This window comes from Homo sapiens, chromosome X (assembly GCF_000001405.40).
Source record: "Homo sapiens chromosome X, GRCh38.p14 Primary Assembly".
NCBI lineage: Eukaryota > Metazoa > Chordata > Mammalia > Primates > Hominidae > Homo > Homo sapiens.
In genome coordinates, this window is record NC_000023.11 from 149726907 (window position 1) to 149752114 (window position 25208).

Sequence of the window (25208 nt, forward strand, 5' to 3'; positions counted from 1 at the left end):
AGCAACTTAAAACTAAAATTCTAGAATCCCTAAACGCCATAGACCTACAAGCCCAACAAATAGCCATACGGAAGGGTATGAGAGAACATCTCTCCTGGATAGATCCCCACTCCTGGGGGTCACTCCTTGATTGGAAAAGAACGTTGTGAATTATACTCATGTTTGCCTTATGTTATTTACTAATTCTAGGATTCAAAGCCAGAATATGAGTTATAACCGCTGTGCCAGACAAACATGTTGCTGTACACATCTGTGCTCTTCAATCAACAAAATCTGATGCAAAAAAACAGAAAAGGGGGAGATGTAAGAGATAGGTCAGGGTGGTGGGAGAAATTATAAGAAGGAATTATAGGAAAAACACAAGCCTTGGAAGGCCAGGAGGTTTTGCAAAAGCTTCAAAAATTTGGCTGAAGGCAGCCAAAGTCTCTTATCCAAAGCCAGAGAGCAAAAAGCAGATAACAAGGAAGTGTAAAGGAATTGATCTAGATCAGTTAGTTTACTTAGGCCCGAAACCTGGCCTTTAACCATCTGTGTGCAGGACTGCTCTCTCTGGGGGGCGGCCATGTTAATTACCCACAAGATGTGTTGACTCAAAGCCTTTGTCATTAAATCTGTAGTGAATATTTGCCCGCAGTGCCGGCTTGTTGGGGCCATGGCTGCTACAACTCTTTATGTGAATGGCCCAGTCCCCTAGCCTTCTCTTTCACTGGATACCTGTGTCTGAGTACATTTTTTATCCATCGCTCGGTCAGCGTCTGCCAGTCAGATCTGGCATTAATGTATGTGGACATTTTATACTCTCGTGAACATTTTACTATATTAATTTTAAAATTTTGATCAAAAATATGAGTGAAAAATATTTTCTCAATGTTACTTTAATTTGTGTCTCTGCATTTTCTAGCTAGGTTAATTAGAACACTAAGTTAATTTCTTACCCATACGAAGCTGGATTTATGCAGTGTTCTAAGTAAGACTATTCCTCTGGGCATGATTTAAAATTTAAAATTTTGAAATGTCAACATATGTTTTTCATTTGAGGAAAAAAGATTCAGTCAGACTGACCAGGAGGCACGGAAGGAGAGCAGACAGGACATGCTCAGCCCGTGAGGGGCATTGGGTGGATCCAGGGGAGAGCAATTGTCAGAGTTCATGAGTGAGACCACATGCAAAACCAAGTCCACAGAGCCCCAGGCAGGCTGGCACTCAGAGCTCTGAATCCAGAGTTCAGCCCACTAGGGACAGGGACCCTGGAACCCAGGGGAAAGAAGCCAGAGGGGGAGGGAGTATACGACAATGTACAGGAGTAGTTTTGAGAAATCTGAGAAGAACAATCATCAGCTGGGTTGGCATTTCACTGTCTTGATGGTGTCCTTTGAAGCCCAAAAGTTTAAAATCTTTGTGAAGTCCAATTTATCTATTTTTTTTCTGTTCATGCTTTTGGTGTCATATCTAGGAATTATTTGCCTAATCTAAGGTCATGAAGATATACCCCTATGTTGTTTTCTGCAAATTTTATAGTAATAGCTCTTATATTTAGGTCTTTTGTTCATTTTGAGTTAATTTTTGTATATACTGTGAGGTAAGGTCAAACTTCATTCTTTTGTATGTGCTTATCTAGCTGCCCCAGCACCATTTGTTGAAAAGATCATTCTTTCCCCCATTGGGTTCTCTTGACACCCTTATTAAAATCAGTTGTCCCCAGAGACATGAGTTTATTTCTGGACTCTCAATTCTATTTCATGGATCTATACTTCTATCCTTGTACCACTACTGTCTTGACCAGTTGCTTTGTCATAAATTTTGAAATCAGGAAGTGTGAGTCTTCCTATGTTTTTTCTTTTATCAAGGATGTTTAGACTAAAATGGGTACCATTAATATTTGACAAGGAAAATCAATTGTGGGAATAGCATTTTTAAAACATTTTATGTGTCATTTTTAAAGAATTCTTACTTTTGTGGGTACATAGTAGTTGTACATCTCATAAGTACATGAGATGTTTTGATACAGGCATGAAATGTGTAATAATCACATCATGTGAAATGGGGTACCCATCCCCTCAAGCATTTACTCTTTGTGTTACAGACAATTCAATTATGTTCTTTTAGTTATTTTAAAATAACTAAAAACTATTGACCATAGTCACCCTGTTGTGACTTAACAAAATGATCTCCAGTTCCATCCATGTTGTTGCAAATGATAGAATCTCATTCTTTTTGATGGCTGAGTAGCACTCCATTGTGTATATGTACCATATTTTATTTAGCCATTCATCTGTTGATGGAAATTTAGGTTGCTTCCGAATCTTGGCTGTTTTGAATAGTGCTGTAACAAACATGGGAATACAGATATCTCTTTGATATACTGATTTCCTTTCTTTTGAGTATATGCTCAGCAATGGGATTGCTGGATCATATGGTAGCTCTATTTTTAGTTTTTGGAGGACCCTTCAAACTGTTCTTCATAGTGGTTATACTAATTTACATTCCCACCAACAGTGTATGGGAGTTCTCTGTTCTCTACATCCTTGCAAACATTTGTTGTTGCTGTCTTTTGGATATAAGCCATTCTAACTGGGGTGAGATGATATCTCACTGTAGCTTTGATTTGCATTTCTCTGATGATCAAACAGGCAGAGCACTTGTTACATGCTTGTTTGCTATATGTATGTCTTCTTTTGAGAACTGTCTATTCAAATCAATAAGGAATTCTCTATAAATACATATACGTGAATATATTTCTAGACTCTCTCTTTAGTTCCATTGACACATTTCTATTGTTATGACAATACTACACTCTTCTGATTATTGTGACTTTATAATAAGCCTTGAAATTAAGTAGTGTAACCCATGCAACTTTTGTTGTCTTTTTTTTTTAACTTATTACACTTTAAGTTCTGGGATACATGTGCAGAACGTGCAGGTTTCTTACACAGGTATACACGTGTTGTTGTCTTTTTAAAAGTTATTTTGGCTACTCTAAGTTCTTTGTACTTATACATGAATGTGAACACCAGCCTGTCAATTTCTATTTTTAAAAAAGTCTTTCAGGTTTTTGATATGGATTTTATTGAATCTATATATGAATTTGGAAAGAATGTACATCTTAACAGTAGTAAGTCTTCCAACTCATGAATAAGATAGCTATCTCCATTTATTTAGGAGACAAATACCAAAATAAACTTTATTTAGGCATTTATCCTTCATTAATTTATCACTGCAATATTTCTTAGTTTTTGGTGTACAGATCTTCTACATATTTCATCATAGTTATGTCTATGTATTTCATGTTTTCTAGTGTTACTTTTATTTTATTATTTTATTTTGAGACGGAGTTTCGCTCTTGCTGCCCAGGCTGGAGTGCAGTGGCGAGGTCTCGGCTCACTGCAACCTCCATCTCCCAGGTTCAAATGATCCTCCAGCCTCAGCCTCCCATGTAGCTGGGATTACAGGTGCCCGCCACCACACACTGCTAATTTTTGTATTTTTCATAGAGACGGGGTTTCACCACGTCGGCCAGGTTGTTCTCGAACTCCTGACTTCAGGTAATCCGCCTGCCTCGGCCTCCCAAAGTGCTGGGATTGCAGGTGTGATCCTTCACGCCTGGCCTAGTGTTACTTTTAAATCATACTGTTTTTAATTTCAATTTCCAATTTCTCATTGCTAGTATATAAAATAGAATTAATTTTTGTGTATTGATATTTTATCTTGTGACCATGCCAAATTCAATTATTAGTTCTAGAAGCATTTTTATTTTAGATTTGTACAGGTTTCTGCATAGACTAAAGACGGTTTTGCTTTTCCCTTTCCAATCTGGAGGTCTTTTTCTCTCTTCGTTGCACTGAGCAACAAGTATAATGTTGAACAACCACTCCACCTCTGTGAACTCAAATGTCTTAGGTTGTAGTTTCCTGCATGCAAACACCCCGCACAACTTCTGGCAAATGAATATCTCCCTCATCCCTCCTGTTAAAACCCAAATCTGGTACTACACAGACTGAGATGAACACAATGCCCATAGTTGAAACAAGACTAATAAGATACTCAGTAGAACAAGGCTGTTTACAGCATGAGAGCCTGACAGCCTGAAGGCAGCGATTTCAGATTGGAAAACAGAAAACTGAAGGGACCTCTATGGACACTAGGAAAAGAATGCGGGATGGAACTTTTCCCTGACAGTAACCAAGAAGTGAGTGGTCTTCAAGTTACATAGGATAAATTTTTAGGAGGGAAGTGGGATGATTCACATCTCTGCATACAGCTAAATCGGCCATATTACCTTGGAGGGATTTTTGGTAAGATGTACAAAAATTAGATAATCGTGAAGGGTAGGAGAGAATGGAGTGAGCCACTCAATGAGGTGGCCATGGGGGAAGGCTTGGAGGGAACACTCTCTCCCCACGATGTGACCCACCAGAACTTAATATGGGGAGATGGAGAGGGTAGCAGGTTAGTTTGGATGGCTGTATAGGGTTGCTAATGAAATGCTACGTTTCTCCAACCAGAGCATCTTGGCCCCCTCACTGCCACCCCTCCCCCACCATCACCACAGAGGTGTCAGGTTGGTGCTTTGTATATTTAAGCCTTCCAGAGCCACCACTGGATGGGTAGTGGCTCTCTGACTAGTCAAAGCTTAGGGATGTGGTTCGTCATTGTCCTGGGAGGGGTATATATGGGGAGGCCAGGTGGCCTGGAGTAGACCATTGAGAGACGAGGACAAGGTGAAGATGGCCAAGAAACCATAAGCCTCCAGCCCAGTTGTGGAACAACCACCTGCCAACACCAAAGAGGCGAGGAGGAGGAAGACCCCTTCTCAATCAAGGTCCAGAAGCCCTATCAAGGTGAGGAACCCACCCAAGCTCCTCCTCGTCTTCCCCTTGACTCCTCCCTCCCAAGACTTCTACCCTATCCTGGCCTGACACAACCCCCCACCCCAGCCTGTATCCCTTCTCATGAAACCCGTCTTTCCATCCCTCCTCCATCCACTTCCCCAAAACCAATGCCTTTCTGTGATCTCCTTGTTGTCCTTTCAGGTTCCCAAACCAGCAAGGGAAAAGAAACACTTTGATGGCGTTCCAGAAAAGAAGCCTCTCCCAAAATGACCACTGCTTGAGGAAAACTCCAGGAAGGGAGTAGGCCAACACTACCAGGCCACCGTGACCAGCTGAATGAGGAGCTCAATCAAAACGAGCCACAGCGGGACCAAAACCATCTCCAGTGTGTCCCCTGGGCAGCCAGTAATTTCAGGGCAATACCAGAGACCTGAGATCTATCTGCAAAGTCACCAGAGGTCTAGTCCCCAGAGAAATAGCCAACAAGGTCTAGGGTACATTTTATACCCAGCAGGGCATGCTCCATGGTGATGAAAATTAAATGACTCATAGAACAGAAATATATAAAAATATATGTTGAATGTTAACAGGTATTTTCACAGGTTTGACTTGTTTCTTGATAGTTATTCAGACACTAGGGGAAGGTAAATAAAAGTAAATGAAATAAGCAACTAAATGAGACCTAATAATTGGCCTTTGATTTTAAATATTTAATTTGTTATTATAAACCTTATCAATAACAATAAATCTAAATCAAAAAAGAAAACTAAATGAGTCTGTTGTAAACTGATATGTGTGTCTACATGTTCTCCGATGGTGGGGAGAGAGGAAGGAGGGAAGAGGTAGTGTGTGGGAAGAGATGGAGGTGGGTGTTGCCCGGTTGGGGTCACATGGGCAACCCCAGCCAGGTTGATTCACAGTTAGCCAAGCACATAGGAGAAGGATTGGGTCGGGGCTGAATTCTGGAGACAAATTTCCTCCTTAACACATTGGCCCATGGGAGAAGAGGAAAAGGTTGGTATATCCGTGTGTGCTTGCAGGGCTGTGGACCCAGCTGGGGAGAGGAGTTATGTGTATGGTTCCAGCGTCGCCCCCCATAAAAGGCACACAAAGTAATTGCCCTCATAAAAACCAAAAACCTTCCTACTAAAAATCATGAACAGCACTCTGAAGCACTAAATTAATGGTGTTTGGACATTGAAAATCCAACACTGATTCAGCAACACTCTCGCTTAAAAAATACCTTTGGAATGGAGCAGTTGGCTACCAAGGATGGGGTGTGGGAGTGGCTCCTCCCCCGTGCAGGCAATAAAGGGGAGCATTGTCTACATATTATTATTCAAGTTCAATTTTTATTTGAGACAATTGTAGACTCACATGCAGTTGTAAGAAATAATACAGATAGACCCTGTGCACCCTTTATGTACCTTCCTCTAATGATAACATCTTGCAAAAGTGTAGTACAGTATCACAATTAGGATATTAACTTGATACAGTCAAGACATAGAACAGTCACCACAAGGGTCCCTCATGTTGCCCTTTTATAGCCACAGCCACTTTCTTCCTACACCACCTTCTCCTCCTCAACCCCTAGAAACACCACTCATCTGTTCTGTATTTTTATCATTTTATCATTTCAAGAATGTTATTTGAATGCAGTCATACAATTATGTAAGCTTTTGGTACTGGCTTTTTAAAAATCTGGCATGACTGTCTGGCGATTCATCCAGCTTATTGTGTGTATGAACAGTCTATTTCTTTTCATTGCTGAGTAGTATTCCAAGGGACCTGGATGAACCACAGGTTTTGTTTGTTTGTTTGTTCGAGATGGAGTTTCGCTCTTTCACCCAGGCTGGAGTGAAGTGGCGTGATCTCAGCTCATTGCAATCTCCGCTCCCCGCCGGGTTCAACTGATTCTTCTGCCTCAGCCTCCCAAATAGCTGGGATTGTAGGTACCCGCCACCATGCCCGGCTAATTTTAAATTTTTAGTAGAGACGGGGTTTCGTCATGTTGGCCAGGCAGGTCTCAAACTCCTGACCTCAGGTCATCCACCCGCCTCGGCCTCTCAAAGTGCTAGGATTACAGGTGCGAGCCATCGCACCCGGCCAGCAGTTGTCTTTTAAACCATTAGTCTGTTGAGGGACATCTGGGCTGTTTCCAGTACTTGCTTATTAATAAAGCTGCAGTGAACATTCTTGTACAGGATTTCGTGTGAATATAAGTTGTTAGTTTTCTAAAATAAATTCCCAGGTGTGTGATTGCTGGGTTGTTTGTTAGTTGTATATTTAGTTCTAGTTGTTTTTTAATGAATAGGCTTTATTATTAGAAAAATTTTGGACTGGTAGAAAATTGAGGAGATAGTACGTTTCCCATATACTCCTTTTGTCCCCTGTACAAAGTTTTCTCTATTATTATCCTCTGCTAGTATGCTACATTTTTCACAATTAATGAACTAGTATCATTATTGATACATTGTTTTTAACTAAAGTCCGTAGTTTACATGAAGGTTCACTCTTTGTGTTGCAAGGATCTTTGGGTTTTGACAAATGCATAATATTGTGTATCCACCATTACAGTTTCACCACCCAATGAATATGTGTGCTTCACCTATTTATCCCTCCCTTGCTGCCTCCAAAACTCTGGTAACCACTGATCTTTGTAACTGTCTCTCCAGCTTGCCTTTTCTAGAAAGTCATGCAGTTGGAATCACACAATATGTTGTCCTCTCAGACCGGCTTCTTCACTAGGTTCCTCCGTGGGTTTTTTGTTTGTTTGTTTATTTGTTTGTTTTTATCGTTGTTGTTTACAGACAGTGTCTTGCTCTGTCACCCAGGTTGGAGTGCAGTGGTACCATCACAGCTCACTGTCCATAATAAACCTTGAACTCCTGGGCTCAAGAAATCCTTCTGCCTCAGCCTCCTGAGTAGCTGTGACTACAGGCACACACCACCACGCTCAACTATTTTCTTAAATTTTTGTACAGACAGGGTCTCAGTATATTGCTCAGGCTGGTCTTGAATTCCTGGCCACAAACGATCCTTCCACCTTGGTATCCCAAAGTGCTGGGATTCCAGGTGTGACTCATCGTACCCGACCTGACTTATTTTTATTGATAACATTTCATTGTCTGTAAGTACCACCGTTTATTAATTCATTCACGTATTGAGCACCTCTTGGTTGCTTCCAATTTTTGGCAACTATGAATAAAGGAATTTCCACTAAAGGAAAACGCTTGCTCACAAGTAGAGATAGAATCCAGGCAAAAATCTAGTCCACTACTAGTTCATGCAGCTCCAGAGGCAAAGAGGAAATGCGGTTTGTGGACAAGTTACTGTTGGAAGAATGATGGTTTTTGATGACAGCTGCAAGGTACACAAGCCCATTCTGTGATAATACCTCAAATGAATGCATCACTTTGTTAGCTTCCAGCTGCAGATGCTGAGCCACAGCTTCTATAACCCCCACCCAGAAACCTGCTCCCCAGAGCTCTTCTGTAAAGCTGCTGGCTCCAGGCATGTCCCTCATGCTTCAGGGTGTGGAGGCCCTCCAGGGCTGGCTACACCGGGGTCCTGAGTTGGCCTAAGCTTGTGGAGGACCAGAGAGGTTGTGCCAGGCAGAGGCTTAATATCACCTTTCAAAATTAAACAAGAAAATATCTTTTTATTGGAAATTTCTGGTTTCTGGTCTGGCATATAAGGAGCTTAGAAGTCATCACTCTCATCCTCACAACAAGAACAGAAACTGAGCAAAGCAGAAATCAGTAACTCTTCTCAGATTCATCGGAGAACTAAGGTCACAGAGCAAAGCAGTGCCCCCAAAACTGGAGAGCTAGACAGGTGGATACAGAGAATCACAGCTTACTGAAGCAGAAGCCCAGAAACAGAAATCACTTTTGGAGCCAGTAATGGTGCAGAAAACTTAAACTGTAACTGATGAACTGCTGGAGGCTCAGTGTGGACAAACTTGAGAGTTAAAGTCTTCAAGGTTGCCCAGTCTTAGGTTGTTGGGTTTTTTCAAACTTTATTGATGTATAATTTACAAACCACAAAATTCACCCATTTGAAATGTACAAATCAATGATTTTTTACTAGAGTTACTAGGTCATGCAACCATCACCACAGTCCTAGTTTTAGAACATTTCCATCACACAATAAGATTCCTATGCCCACTTATAGTTAATTCACGTGCCCAGCCCACTCCATGGCAACAACTAATCCACTTTCTTTCTATCTTTAATGATTTGCCTTTACTGGAAATTTCATATAAAAGGAATTATATCACATGGCTTATTTGTTTAATCCATGCTGTACCATGTACCTGTAGCCCTTTCCTTTTTACTGTTGAACAGCATTGCAAAGATGCAGCATATGTTGCTTATCCATCTACTAGTTGATGGACATTTGGATTGTTGTAACTTTTCAGTTACTGTGAATATGCTTCGATGAACATTCCTGTACAAGTCTTTGTATGGACGTATGTTTCCTTTTTTTTTTTTTTTTTTTTAATAGAGTCTTGCTCTGTTGCTCAGGCTGGAGTGCAGTGGTGCAAACATGGCTCACTGCAGCCTCAACCTCAACCTCCCAGATTCAATGGATCCTCCCACCTCTGCCTCCCAAGGAGCTGGGACTACAGGCGCGTGTCACAATGCTGAGTTAATTTTTGTATTTTTAGTAAAAAGGAGGCTTCACCATGTGCCTCAGGTTGGTCTCGAATTCCTGGGCTCAAGCGATCTGCCTCAGCCTCCCAAGTGCTGGGATTGCAGGCATGAGCCACCAAATCTGGCCCATTTTCTTAATTGTGACTTTTCCAGTAAAAAAAGTTTTAAATTTTGATGAAGTACAATTTGTTGATTTTTTTTCAAAAGTGTGCTTTGCTGATGTTAATAAAACTTTGCCTAAGCCAAGGTAATGAAGATTTTCTCCTATGAGTTAATTTTTCTAAGGTCTGCTATAAAGGTGCAAATTCATATTTTTGCAGGTGGATATTCAATTTTCCCAGTGCCATTCGTTGAAAAGACTATTCCTTCCCCCGTGGAATTAATATGTTAGCACCTTTGTTAAAAATCAGTTGATCACAAGGATATGTGGGCTTATTTATAGACTTTTAATTCTGTTACATTGATCTGTATGTCTACTCCTATACCAAAACCATACAGTCATGATTACTATATCTTGAATCGGCAAGTAAATGTTCTCCAGCTTTTTTTTTTTTTTTTCCAAAATGCGTGTGGCTATTCTGGGTCTTTTGCACTTTAATATAAATTCTAGAACTAGCTAGTCAAGTTCGACACAAAGATCTGCTGGAATTTTTATAGGTATCATGTAGAATCTACACATCATTTTGGAAAGAACTGACATCTTAACAATATTGCATCTCCTGACTCATGAACACAGTGCATGCATCTCTCTCATTCAGATTCCCTTGCACTCCTCTCAAGAATGTTGTTTAGTTTTTAGTGTATAAGCTGTGCACTCATTTTGTTAGATTTCTTCCTAAGTATTTTATTCTTAATGCAATTATTTTCTTAATTTCACTTTGGGTTTATTCATTGTTAGTATATAGAAATGCTACTAATTTTTGTACTGACCTTGTATCTTGTGAACTTGCTAAACTCATTGAATAGTTCTAATACTTTTTGGTGGGTTTGTTAGAATTTTCTGCATACAGGATCATGTCAATGAATAAAATCAATTGCACTTTCTTTCTTCCAAGTTGGGTTAACATTAACAATTCAGAGTTCACTGACTGCACTCACTCCTGCATGACACGGGGTCTCTATCCTCTTGTAAACATGACTCAGTTGTTTTTTTTGTTTTGTTTTGTTTTGTTTTGTTTTAATTTCTGGAGCTGCCGCATGTGTGTTCATGAATAGCGCTCTGGTGAAATTTATACTTTCTCCCCTAGTCCAGACCCTGGGAAGCCATGGGAGGTCAGGGCCCACAGCATCACCTGTGGTCAGTGAATTCTGGAGTTGGTGCTATGCAGATGCTGTCTACAGAGTCTCTATTTCTTGCAATTTCACCCCAAACTGGAAGCTTTGGGCCACCTGCCCCTTTGACTACGGAAGTGGCACTTAAATTTCAAAAGCAAGATGGTCACAATGATCATAATAAGCAGGAAACTTGAGTGGCAAACAGGGAATCTCATCTGCAGAGAGGAGCAGACTCTGTTAACAGAACACAGTGCTTTTAGAGCCAAGATAGAAGAACAGACAACAAGTATGTTGCTTAACTTATATACCCACATGAAATCGAGGCTCAATAAGCAGTAGGCTGGGTAAACTGCTCCAATAAAGTTTTAATCCATCTCCCAGTTTCCAGACCTGAGCCAATTCTCAGACACAGAATTTATTAACTGAACATAACACAATGGTAGAGTCCTCTTGAGGAAACCACCTGCAATACTATGGCAAGTTGATACAATAGTGGTTTTCCAAGCCCAGTTTCCAAAGGAACCTATGTCTATTCACCTCAGTAACTGAACACTGGGAAGGGGGAAAACACTCAAACATTTCAAGGACCGCTGGACACAGAATCTGCATTGACACTGACACCTAGGACCTGAAGCTTCATCATGGCCCCCTGTTTGTTAGAGTGGAAGCAAATGTGGGCCAGGAATAAATGGAGTTCTTGCCTAGGTCTGACCCAGAGTGCCCATTTATCCAGTTTCCAAATGGGAAATTGAAATGGACTTCCTCGATAATGGGCACAAACCCTGACTGGGTCCGTGGCTGTTAGTAGAAGAGCTAGCAGAGTAGAGAAGGCCAAGTGCACTTCCTGCACCTTGGCCATGATAGTAAGTAATAAACAATATTGCATCCTGAGGGATGGAAAATGTTAATGACACCCTTAATACCTAAAGGATGTAGGGGTGGTGATCCCCATCATATCTTAATTTAAGGTAGCAGCCTGGCTCCTACAAGAACCTGATGGGTCACTGGGACTACTGCAACTTTGCACTACTGCAAGCTCAATGGCAAGAGCCTTTAACAGATTTGTTATCTTCACTAGAACAGATCACCACGGCCTCAGGCACATGGCATGTCGCTACTGATCATCATGAGCTAGGTTCTGTCAGACCCACAAAGTCAGGTGATTCCAAAAGTAATCTGTGATAAGATAGAAGTAGCATATCCAGGACCAGATACCAGCACGGCCATAGATTACAAGCAGGTGACCTAATCCCCAATGTCATCTGCCACTGTTGTGTCTGTGTCTCTCCTTCAGCTCTTTTTTATTCCTATAGATTAATGGACCAGGAAGTTCTCTTATGACCAGCTGCTGGAGGAGTAGAAGTGCTGAGCTTAGATAATAGATGGTTTGGCCGGATTTAGAGCGCAACCTGAAAATGAACTTCTGTTGTAATACTACCTCAATCGTATGTGGTCAAGAAATACATTGTTGAGCAGAAATCCCCAGGTGGCAGAGCTTCAAATGGTGCATCTGATGATCCACTTCATATCTAAAAAAGAAGTGACCCAAACTACGAATGGACTTATGGACAGTGAAAAATAAATTGGACAGCTGCTCAGGGACTTAGAATGAGAAGTAGTGACAGATTGCAATAAGCAGGATTGGGGACGGAGGTTTATTGATGGACGTATGAGAAGGGACACTATATGTGAAGATATTTGTATCACGTCTTAAGGCTCAAGAGAGCATTCACCATGGAAGAGACACTAAACGTTTAATCAAGAAAAAAATGACCTAACTAGTTGACATTAGCCAGCCTCAGTCGCTGGCCACATTAATGCTACACAATGGCCTTATGTGTGCAATAGCCACGGTGGAAGAAGTGGATGCTATGCATGTGTTCAACAGCATGGGTCCCCATTCACCCAGGCATATCCAGCTATTTTTGCCAAATGTTCAAACTGCCAGCAACAGAGGCCAGTGCTGAATACCCAGTAGGGCACCATTACTTAAGGAGACTAATCAGCCCCTTGTGGCTTGTTGATTGCGTCCAGCAAATTCCATCCTGGAAGGAGCAGAGATTCATCTTTACTGGAATTTGTACACATTACAGGTATAAGTTTGACTTTCCTGCTCACATTTCTTTGTCGGGCACCACTAACACAGGGCTTAAAGAATGTTGGATACACTGAGCCAGGATACTCCATACGATCAGCTGGGACCAAGGGACCCACATATAGCAAAGGAAGTGCTCAGTGGGCACATGACCGTATGATCTAAAGTTGTTATCTCATACTGCGCCACCCAAAAGCCACTGGTCTACTGGAATAATGGAGTGGCTTCTTCACAGTGCAAATGAGGTGCAAATTTGGAGATCACAGCCTTGAGGATGGGGTGTCATTCTCTACTGTACTGTATATACCCTAAATCTATTACCATTCTCTTCCATCAATAGATAGAATACATGATGCAGATACCAAAGGGTGGAATGACCTCACTTACTGTCACTCCCTGTGACCTGTATGGGAATTTGTACTTTCTGCTACATGAGTTTAGGTTCTGTAGTTCTAGAACTGTGCTTTCCAATAAGGTGTCACTAGCCACATTTAGCTATTTGCACATAAGTTTACACTATTTAAAATTAAATTTAAAGTTCAGGTCCTCAGTCACACTAACCAGGTTTGTATACTCAATGGTCACATGTGGCTGCTGGTTACCCTATTGGACAGTGCTGGCTAGATATATTGGTTCCCAAAGTAAGATTACTTCCACCTGGAAAAAAACAATTTAATGGGACTCTTTCCATTAAATTTCAAGCTATTGCTCCCATCTGGGCACTTTGAGCTTCTCATGCTATAGGACCAGCAAGCATAAAAAGGAGTTGCCATGCTTGCAGGGATATTGGCTCTGATCATCAGGAGGAGGTAGGGCTGCCCTTATACAATGGGAACAGAGAGGAATGTTTGGCTCTCGAGTGACCCCTTGAATGTGTCTTCGTAGTCCCCTGCCAGATTTCTATAGTATAGGGACAATTGTAAGTGCCACAGCCTGAGAAGGTCGTGGAGGACCAGGAGCCCAGAACCTTCCGGGATGAGGGTTTGCACTACTCTATTGGGTAAGTAATAGAGAACAGCAAAGATTCTGGTTGAAACCGACAGTACTCTAGAATGGATAGTAGACAAGGAACAGAATTATCATCAGTTGTGGCTTAGAGGCCAGCTGCCACAGAGGGCCTATCGTTTGTACACTCTTCTTTCTCATGTGAACTTCTTTAGTAAGGGATCACCAGAATCCTTGAGGAGTTGTGCTCAAATGAGGTGAACTTTCTACATGAAAAAGTAGGGTTAATCCACTGCTTGGCATATACCCAAAAGAAAGGAAATCAGGATATCGAAGAGATATCTGCACTCCCATGTTTGTTGCAGCACTGGTCACAAAACCCAAGATTTGGAAACAACCTAAGCATCCATCCACAGATGAATGGAATAAGAAAATGTGATACATATACGCAATGGAGTACTATTCAGCAATAATAAAGAATGAGATCCTGTCATTCACAACAACAAGGTGGAACTGGAGGGCATTATGTTAAGTGGAATAAGCCAGGCACAGAAAGACAAACTTTGCATATTCTCACTGATTTGTGGGAGCCAAAAATGGCAACAATTGAACTCATAGAGACAGAGTAGAAGGATGGTTAACAGAGTCTGAGAAGGGTAGTGGAGTGGGGGGGGGGGGAAGGATGTTTAATGAGTACAAAAATATAGTTAGATTGAATGAATCTAATATTTGATCATACAACAGGGTGACTACAATCAACCATAATTTATTGTACATTTTAATAACAAAAAAGAGTATAATTGAAATGTGTGTAACACGAAGAAAGGATAAATGCTTGAGGTGATGGATATTCCATTTACCCTGATGTGATTATGCATTGCATGCCTGTCTCAAAATATCCCATGTGCCCCATAAGTATATATGCAGCTACTATGTACCGCAAAACATTATAAATAAAAAAAATAGAAAAAAATGTAGGTTTAACTGTTGCAAGAGAAGATGGACTGTAGTGGATGGTATAGTGCTACCAAGATCTTTGCTTTATAACTGAGGCGCTCATTCCCCCAAAGGTATTGTTTGTTGATGACCGATAACCAGGGTCCTCTCCATGGACGGCCCTCAGTTGTAGGAAACTTCCTTTCCGGGGTCAGCTTCCTTCTAGTGACTAGTCAAGGAATCAATGGGAGGAGTACGAAGCCCCCATCCCCCTGCTTCGTATGGGGTTACTTCTTCAAGGCTATCCTGGTTGCTTTCTGTTTTCAAAAATTACTGTAACTACTGTGCTCCGAAATGACAGCAGAATGAAGTGGAAGTTAGACCCTGAGATATCACCACTATTGGAGGCTTAAGCCATGGGCAGGGGCCATCCCTGTCCGCTGTCGGGAACTCTAAAAATAGACTCCTCAGGAATTTGACTTGGGCTCAATCAAAAGCCAGAATCTCAAGCCTACTGTGTCCTGTTACTTGTTTCAGCAAATGAGATAACCTCTGTGGCCCACTGAATAAACTGTAAAGTACTAGTGAGAGGATGCTATTATTGCTGTCACAGCAATAGTTCTGCATCCCACAGTAAGCCAGTGTGGTGGATAAGAACTGAGCTTTGAAATCAAAACACCTGTTACTTGAGAGCTCCACTGAAAAAATGCCTGTGACCCACCCCGGGCTGCCCAGCACTGCACAATGATGGCAGAAGCCATTCAGGATGTGAAGGGGCTTCACCAGGACTGGACACTAGGAGGCTGCAGAAAGTAAGAACATTTGACAGATGCAACAGCACCCTCTGGAGCACCCGAGGATCAGGGGAAGCCTTAAGGACGAGGATAACTGTACACAGTTGACAGATCATTTACTGTGCCAGGCAGTGGGATAAGTGCTTCAAGTTCCTCACAGCCCCGTGGAGGACAAGTTTCGGCCATATTTTACCAACCTTCCACGAGCTGTCTTACTGGATCCTGAAGCCGCACACACACCAGTGACTACTGAGGTCAGGAGTTGCTGATTTAATAAACACTCCCATGACACTTACTATGTACCAGGCATTGTTTATGTGCTTGACAGATATTACCTGATGCAGTCCTTATATGTGCTTCGTGAAGTACATGCTACTGCTATTCATGTTTGACAGATGAGGGAACTGAGATACAAGGAGTTTGGAAGCTCGCCCATGATCACACAACTAGGAAGTGGCAGCGCCAAGACTCATATCCAGGCTGGCTGGGTCCAGAGCCCCTGCTTCCAGCTGTGTCCCTTAAACCTAAGTCCGGCTAAACTATTCTCACTTGGAAACAAACATGTTTCTAATTGTACATTTGTGTCCTACACACACCTTGGCTCTTCTGAAACCATGCAGAAAGAATCTACTAACCCAGCCACATACCCCTATTAGATCGTGAGCACCTCAAAGCAAGGTTTGAATGCCATGTTTGGAACTACTGGTGCCCGTGATAAGCCTTAGCGCCCACTGGGAGATCATGATATATTTATTAAATAATGGTTTATTGAAAAATCAAATAATCTTCTTGGATCAACTTTATCTGGCTTCCAACACATGCAACAGGCTTGGGCCCTGGTATGTCAGCATGTAAGGATACGGGTGAGGATGTTGGATCCTGGAAATGACTCCTGAAAAGGCCGTGCATGTGGGAGATGGGGAGGTACCTGGGATGTCCTTAACTGCCTAGGGCACCACTCTCCACACCCACTGGCTCCCTCCAAGAAGGGACATGTGATGTCGCTGTTTCCGGTAATGTCCTGTTCCATCCTGGAGCGCCCACAGGGGTCTGACCCAGGCCATTCCTGGGAGCACCCACCTAATGACCTGGTCCAGGGTTCCAGCTCACCTCAGCCTCCTTCTGCTCCCATGTCCCTCTCCCCACAGCCGGCCCAGGGCAGTACAGCTGGACCTGGCAGGTGCTTCTCCTCACGCCCCTCCTGGGGTGGCTGATGCTCAGCACAGCCTAATCCCTCAGGACCCCAAAGCCCTCTCACACCCAGCTGCTTTCCAAGTCCTAACGTGGATCTGGGAGTATTCTGCGGACTGCGGAGTGTCCCGATACTCAACGCCCCCACCATCTGCTACAGCCTTTAGTCTTCTTTAGCTGCCTGTCTGGGGATACCGAGGCCCTAGCTGCCTCTGCTAGGACACCCCAGCCCCACCTCTCTGGATCATCAGCCTGAGAAAGCAAAACCTCATAGTCACCCATTTAAGGTGATCGGTTAATCAAAAGCCAGACATTACCTGGGGAATTATTTGAATAATATCTCCTAATCATCGTGATTTGTCACTCATCATGTCAGAATGCTTATTATTCACTAGGAGCCTCCCCAGAAGGCTTCATCATCTCCTGCCAGTTCTGTCACCACAAGACCTTGGAAGGAGATCCTTACCAGGGAATTTATCACAATGATAATCGCATATGAGCATCAGCTCCAGGTCTTGAGCAGTAGTTAGTGGGGAGAGAGGAAGCGCAAAGCCCCAAGCTGGGCAGACTGAGGCCCGATTGGGGCAGTGTGGACACAGCAGCAGGGGACATGAGAACACAACTATGGGCCCCAGGAGAAGGAAACTTGCAATCCCAACAAGGGCATTTGACTGCTGGCTGCCAGCCTCCAATTCAAGGACACATCGTGGCTCTTAAAATACTGATGGGTCATGCTTCAGGGCCCAAAGGGTGCAGATGGCAATGCAGGAATTCCTGCAGTCAGCTTCCTACGGGGTGTTGCTTCCTGTGAAGACCTCCATCCCTGCCCAGGGCCTTCAAAGTACAGAATCTGGCATCTCGCATAGAAGGGAGCAAATGTGTATGACTTAAGTCTCTGGATGTGTTCTCAGGATGTGAGAATGAAACCCAAAGCTCCCGAGTCTCCTTCTATGGAATCTGCCTCACATAGCTTCATGAGCCCCAGCTTCTTGCCTGCCATCCCCTGAGGACCTGGTGCCAGTTCCCCATCTGTGTCACTCCTCTCCTCACCTGACCAGATCCTGTCACATGGCTAAAGGAAGGGGAAGAGAATGCTTCATCTCAGAAGGAGGGTGAGTAGTGTGCTCTTCCCATGGAGGTCATGTCATTCTTGTGCAGCCTCAAACTCCTGCACTGCTCCCCTGACCTCTCCCTGGAGGGTTCTGCCCACTCCACAGTCCCTCCTGCTGTGCTCCCAAACCCCAGTGTGTATCTCCAGAACATGTCTGCAAGGACCTAGGCCTCCAACATACTCTTCCTTCTTCCCCATCTTGGCATCAAATCTGTCTTGGAGGACTCTAGGAATACTAGTCTGATTTTTGTAGAACATCCCTCAGTTTCAGTGGGTCTAATGTCTTCTCACGATTAGAAGGGCATGCATGATTATGCATTATTAGGAAGAACACCACGGAGGTGGGAAGCCCTTTTTATAGTGAATACAGTATCTCCAGCACTTAGGTCAGTGCCTGGAGCATATGAGGAGCTGGATAAATATTGAATGAATGAGCGAATGAAATCATGTTATGTTACCTCTTGGAGAGTGTGTAATGATTCCTCAAATAACTTCACGCAGCAAGGAACGGTGTGTACAAAGGCAGGGATGGCACCTGTCTACTGGCATTGGGGAGAAATCATGATGGAGCATTCTCCAGATGAATGCAACCTTGCAAACCACGTTGGCCACCCTTCCTACTTTCTCCAGGGAAGTAGCATCAAAGTCATTGGCGAACATGGGACTTCTGTCTAGAGCTTGTCCAGGAATCAATGGGAAAGTGTTACTTGAACTGAATGTTACATAAATCCCTTTAAGGCCCAGCTGAAACCCAGAGACATGTGAGACCTTGACATTGGCTGCTTGCAGACCCAAACGACCAGAGAGAGGAGCAGGGAATTGGGACAAGGGCCACAGCTGCCTACTGGCAAGAGAGAGTGCTCAGATAGCCACTGATGTTTGTAGCCCTGCCTTGCTGACTTCCCCAGGATGCCAGGAGCACAGACCAGGCGCTGGGGCAGCAGGTCTCTGGAGTCCCTAGAGCTCAGTTGCTTACCTGTTCCATGACTCAACAATAAGAGGGTGCTGGGATGCATTTAAACTTTGATTGCTGGGTAATTGGGAGGACTGAAAATGCCACGAGGCTCCAATGCAGAGGCTGCGAATACTAGGACCATGGAGCTGTAGTTCTTCATGCGTCCCACAGCTGAGTACTGAGCATGTACTGTTTGCCAGGCACTGCTCTAAGCTCTGAGGATACAGCATTGAACAAATTCCCTGCTTCTGTGGAGCTTATGTTCTAGCGGGAGGGGAGGGGCAGGCACACAATGAACTGCGGAACAAAGTTACAGGTGAAGTAGGTTTTATGGTGACAAACGCTATGGAAACAAATTGAATCGAGAGAGCTAAATAAGGAGTGCTGGAAACTGGGTGGAAGGAGGGATTGCAATTTTTACAATGGTATTCATAGAAGGCCTCACAGAAGAGATATCTCGAGAGAGAACCGAGGATGTCTGGGAAGGAATGCTAACAGTATTATAAGAGCAATCGTCTAGAAGAGAACAAAGACATGCAGTCGCTCGGGGCCTTGGAACAGAGTGTAGAGGGCAGGGTCTAGAGACACTGGTCTGGTGAGCCAGGTAAAGGGTATTCCCTGATCCTCTGAGCCATGGACTGCCTCAGAGCCAGGTCAGCTGCACTGTACCATGAACTGGCTTCTTGGATCCAGGTTTCTATTCCAGGTTACTGACTTGACCTGAGGACTGGGTACGGAATACAGGTCTAGGTGTCCAGAAACCTTTCTCTCGGGATAAAGGGGATGGAAGGCACCATTGGCATTGAACAGGCAAGGCTGTTGGCCTGCTGCTGTGGCACTGCTGCGGCGGGCAGGACAATGGTGCACGTGTAAAGACTGGGTGCAGAACAAAGCAGAAGGCTGTCTGGTGACACCTAGTGCTCATTCCAGAGTAGACTCTGTGTCTTCAATGAGGGGCCAGATGTCTTAATCCAGGACTGGATTTCCTATCTTTCAAAGTTCACCTCAGGTGGAGGCCAGAAGCAGGTTTGGCTTTTTGTTGGGGGGGAAGGTACACATAGGAGGCTCTTTGTGCTTCCTACTGTACTCCAGCAGGAGGCATACAACTTCTGGCTGTTCAACCCTTGATCATATTGGCTCTGATCAGTGGGCTCAGGTGGAGAGGTGGAGACAGCCTTGTTCCTCCATTGCAGAGTGCGTCATCAACCCTTCAACAATGTTTCATCCATTGATTAGCATGGATTGCATCAGTTGCATTGCTGGATATTGCAAATACTTGTTTTCCTTTTCTCTCATATGTTGCATTTTCCTCAGCTGGAATTCTCCAGTAAGGAAGAAACTTTCCTCATCAACTGTAGCTATTGTGTCATCCTGAAATACAGTTAGTACAGGAAATGCAGGATAAATGTTTTATTCTCTCTCTTGCAGAGCCAATTCTCAATGTGAGGGGTGGTTATTCTTGTTCCTTCCAATGGGGTCCAACAAGTCATTCTTTATTAATGACTTTTTATTTTAGAAAATGTTTAGGCTTACAGAATTATTGCAGAGATAGTACAGAGAATTCTCATATACCCCACACCCAGTTTTCCCTATTACCATCCTCTTACATTAGCATTACACATTTGCCACAATTAATAAAACGGAAGACAAAAACAAGGACACTAGAGGAATCTGAAGCCTCTGGCATCTATAGGTATAAGAAATAAAGCCCAACTCCCAGCCAAATTGACATACATCCTCACTGTAGAGATCTAATTGCCTCTGTTCCTATGACCTCATACAACACGTTCACTCTCAACAAAAGGATTGCAAGGGACACACGCAAAAGAGTAAGAAAATACATAGTCTGAAGAGACAAGACAATCAACAGAACTGGACTCTAATATGACTCAGATATTGGAATTAGGAGGCAGATAATTTAAAATGACTATTTTTAAAAATTTAAGAGGCTTTAATGGAAAAAGTAGGCAACATGGAAAAACAGATAGGTAATGCAGGAAGAGAAGTATTGCGCTCAGCAAAATCCAGAGTATGGGAAACTGGACAGAACACAAGGCATGTCTTCATTTTCAACAAATGAGTTTCAAAAAAAGGTAATGTGGGGGAATCTATAAATTACTTAAGGTGGCTATTAAGAACATAAACACAATGTATAGATCATATTTGCAAACCGATTCAAAGAAACTGCATTTTAACAGGAGCATATGTCCACCAGATACATGTGACAAATAAGTGAACATTTCATTATATTAATGACTTGCTTACATGTTTAGGAAAGATAATAATGTTGGCTTTATGTTTTATAAGAGAGTAGTTATCTTTAGAAATGCACTCTGATGTATTTGGAGATGAGATCACATGGTGTCTTGGATTTGCTCCACATTATTTCAGTTTCTGCTATGCGGAGTAGGTAGGGGTATAACTAGAACCAGATTGGCCATGAGTTGAAGATTATTGATACTGAAAGTCTGGTATATTAGATTAATTATAGTATTTACCCTATTATTAGGTGTATTTGAAAATGCTTGTAATGAAAATATTTTTGAAATAAATATGATATTTAATTTGAAATCCTAAGTGAAATGGATAATATTTTAGGAAAATAAGTACATGAACAAATTGATACAAAAAGAAATTCAAATCTTTAACCAAACAATAAAAAGTGAAACTAATCTAAGCTCAAGCCATCCTCAAATGTGGACAAGGCAGCTTCGGAGGCCAATTCTACATTGTTATCAGGTAAAGCTCAAAGCCACCTTAAGTAAACTCTTCCAAGGCATACGAAAAGTTGGGCAATTATTCAAATTATTTTCCCAAGCTAACCATTCTTCATTCAGGTACCAGAGGAGGACAGCACCGTGAAAACACTTGAGCCAAACTTCACTCACACAGAGGCAAATATATTAATTAAATTAGTAGCATATTCAACATAGAAGTGAATTAACGGATTGTGTCCAAGGAACAAAAACATGATTTAATATAAAACAATTTTCAGTTGTGATTTCCTACGTTATCGAATTAAGATTTTAAAAAGTGATCACTTTAGTAGGTATAAAAAAGCTTCTGGATGAAATTCTATACAAGTTAATGGTCAAAACATTTAGCAAAATAAGTTTAGCAGCATATTTTCTTTTCCTGAGATCAATGGACAACATACTTAAGTATGAAATGTTAGAAGAATTCTTGTCATGGACATAGGCTATAACCTCTATCTTTGGAAACTGCATGTAACATAAGGCAGGAGATATGGATATCAAAAGAAATCAGTATGAATATTGAACAGAAAGAGTTAATATTTGGTATGACAATATGATTATCTAGAAAATTCAAAGAAATGTGCACATGGAATAGTCAAATAACAGACTTCAGAATAATAGTATACAGGTTACTACAGTAAAATCAAAATCCTTGCAACCCAATGAAATAACCACTCAGAACAAGTAATAGAAAATACCCCATTCACAATGGCAACAAAATCCAGAAATTGTCTAATAAGACAGACAAACCATACAAGATCTTTATGGAAACAACTATGCAAATACTGATAGATTCGGGTCAAAAACTTCCCAGATAAATAGAGCCATATTCCATATCCCTTAATAGGGAACAGGCTATTGAAAAGATGTCAATTTTTCTTTATCCAAGATGTACAGATATAACGCTTAAAATTTAGCTGGCAATATGAACGTCAAGCTTGGGCTTCTGTCCTTCACTCCCAAAACGAACCCTGGAAAACTATAGAAGGAAGAATAAAATAACAAACAAACAGTATAAACAACAAAATCTAAACAACAAAACATGAGAAAGCTCTGAGGGAGAATGAAGACTGTATTTAACTGGTACCTGTAATCGAAGTGGCCAGAGTGTCAAGGAAGTTAGGGAGAGTCCATAGCTGGCATAGAAGGAAGATGACAGGATGTGTAGAAGGAAATGTTTAAATTTTTGCCCCTATTCCAGTGTGAAAATGTCAGGTGGCACCTGAGACCACAGGTGCCAGTAGTCTGGTTTCATTGAAACAGTAGTAGCTCCAGTCTGTGCTAATAACCACCTAAAACCACATTAATAGGTGAATTGGCTTAACTGAACATAAAGAATGGATTACAAATAGAGTGTTGAGCATTAGAATGAAACAGGCATAATGAGGTTAAGTATGATTTCTGATGCTGAATGAAAGTTTAAAAATGAAAATCACTGCACTGAGCTATGAAATGTTAGATAATTCCAATGGCAGAACTCCTTAGATTTCTAGCTGCTGGTCAGCCTACTCAATGTAAAAATAAATATTTTAGGGTAAAAGGTTTGCAAATTCAACCTCTGGCTGGGGAAGAGCTGCCCTGGGAAGGTGCGTGTCTTCTCCCAGAGGCCACTACAATCACAGCTCCTGCAGCCCCCCCACGGAGCACCTGGCCTGGGACCCGCAGCCATTCTCTGCAAGGGGTGCAGCTGGGCAAAGGCTCAGAGGTGACAGAAACAGAGTATCTGCCACCCATCACTGCATCGAAAGAGCCAGGAGTCAGGAGGAGGATCCTCCTGAGTGAGGACTGAAGGTCCACCCTCCCCACATAGAGGGGCCACAGAATCCAACTCAGCCCCTCCCGTCATTCCCTGGAAGACCCTGGCAATGTTGTCGTCCCGACCACACCCCTCTCCCGACTGCCACCTCATGGGACTCAGAGTCAGAGACTTGGTCTGAGGGGAGCAGAGAATGGGGGTCCAGGATCTGCCAGCCATCAAGGTCAGGACCCCGAGGGATGACTGAGGGTCCTCCACCCCCATTCCCAAACCCACCACCACCAAGACCTAAGCCCTGGGGGTCCCACCCCAATCCCTCCCCCTACCGCCCCCAATTCCTCCCCCTAAACCCCCGCACCCCACATCTTAACAACCACCCCCACCCAAATCCAGGCAGAACCCGTTTCTGCCCATGCTGTCAACCCAGGGAAGCCCCAGGTTGGGGCTTCTAAGGTTATTCTTCACCTTAGAACAAATATCTGGACAGGCCCCACACCACTGGACCCCTAGAAATTTTACTGAGGTAGGGCCGGGCACAGTGGCTCACGCCTGTAATCCCAGCACTTTGGGAGGCCGAGGCAGGCGGATCACGAGGTCAGGAGATCGAGACCATCCTGGCTAACACGGTGAAACCCCACCTCTACTAAAAAATATAAAAAATTAGCCAGGCGTGATGGCGGATGCCTGTAGTCCCAGTTACTTGGGAGGCTGAGGCAGGAGAATGGCGTGAACCCAGGAGGTGGAGCTTGCAGTGAGCGGAGATCGCGCCACTGCACTCCAGTCTGGGAGACAGAGCAAGACTCTGTCTCAAAAAAAAAAAAAAAAAAAAAAAAAAGGAAGAAATTTTACTGAGGTAGAAGGTCCCTGAATTTTAGTCGGATTTATTTCCCATCCTCTGGCATGCAAATGTCTCACTACTAAGTCCAGTGTGTTTTCTACTTCTTGCTCACTGGATCCAATTAGCATAATGTCATTAATGTAATGGACCAGTGTGATATCTTGCAGAAGCAAAAAGCCATCAAGGTCTCTCTGAATAAGATTATGACACAAACCTGGAGAGCTGATATACCCCTGAGATAGGACAGTAGAGGTATATTGCTGGCCTTGCCAGCTGAAGGCAAATTGCTTCCAGTGGGCCTTATGGACAGGAACAGGGAAAAAGGCATTTAGCAAGTCAATGGCTGCATACCAGATACCAGGAGATGTGTTAATTTCTCAAGCAATGAAACCACATCTGGTACAGCAGTTGCAATTGGAGTTACCACTTGGTTAAGCTTACGATAATCCACTGTCATTCTCCAAGATCCATCTGTCTTCTGCACAGGCCAAATGGGAGAGTTGAATGGGTATGTGGTGGGAATCACCACCCCTGCATGTTTCAAGTCCGTAATCTCCGCAATCCCTCCATGGATGCAATATTGTTTTTGATTTACTATTTTTCTAGGTAGAGACAGCTCTAATGTCTTCCATTTGGCCTGTCCCACCATAATAGCCCTCACCCTACCAGTCAGCGAGCCAATGTGGGGGTTGTGCCAGCTGCTAAGTATGTCTATGCCAATTATGCATTCTGGCACTGGTGAAATGTCCACAGGATGAGTCTGGGGACCCACTGGGCCCACTGTAAGTCAGACCTGAGCTAAAACTCCATTAATTACCTGACCTCCATAAGCCCCTACTTTAACTGGAGGATCACAATGACATTTTGGGTCGCCTGGAATCAGCGTCAGCTCAGAGCCAGTGTCCAGTAGTCCCTGAAATGTCTGATTGTTGTCCTTTCCCCAATGCACAGTTATTCTGGTAAAAGGCAGGAGGTCTTCTTGGGGAAGGATAGGAGAACGATTCACTGCATAAATTGTCGGTAATGTAGTGGGGTCCTTCCTTAAGGGGACCCAGCCTCCACTTCATTC

The 25208-nt window shown here is 43.0% G+C and overlaps 1 annotated feature.

The window, feature by feature from the left end:
- Positions 319-854: an enhancer, noted in NCBI's record as "OCT4-NANOG hESC enhancer chrX:148808885-148809420 (GRCh37/hg19 assembly coordinates)". NCBI's record gives its function as "activates a minimal SCP1, AML or CMV promoter by ChIP-STARR-seq in naive H9 embryonic stem cells {active_cell/tissue: H9 hESC(naive)}" and the evidence as "EXISTENCE:reporter gene assay evidence [ECO:0000049][PMID:30033119]".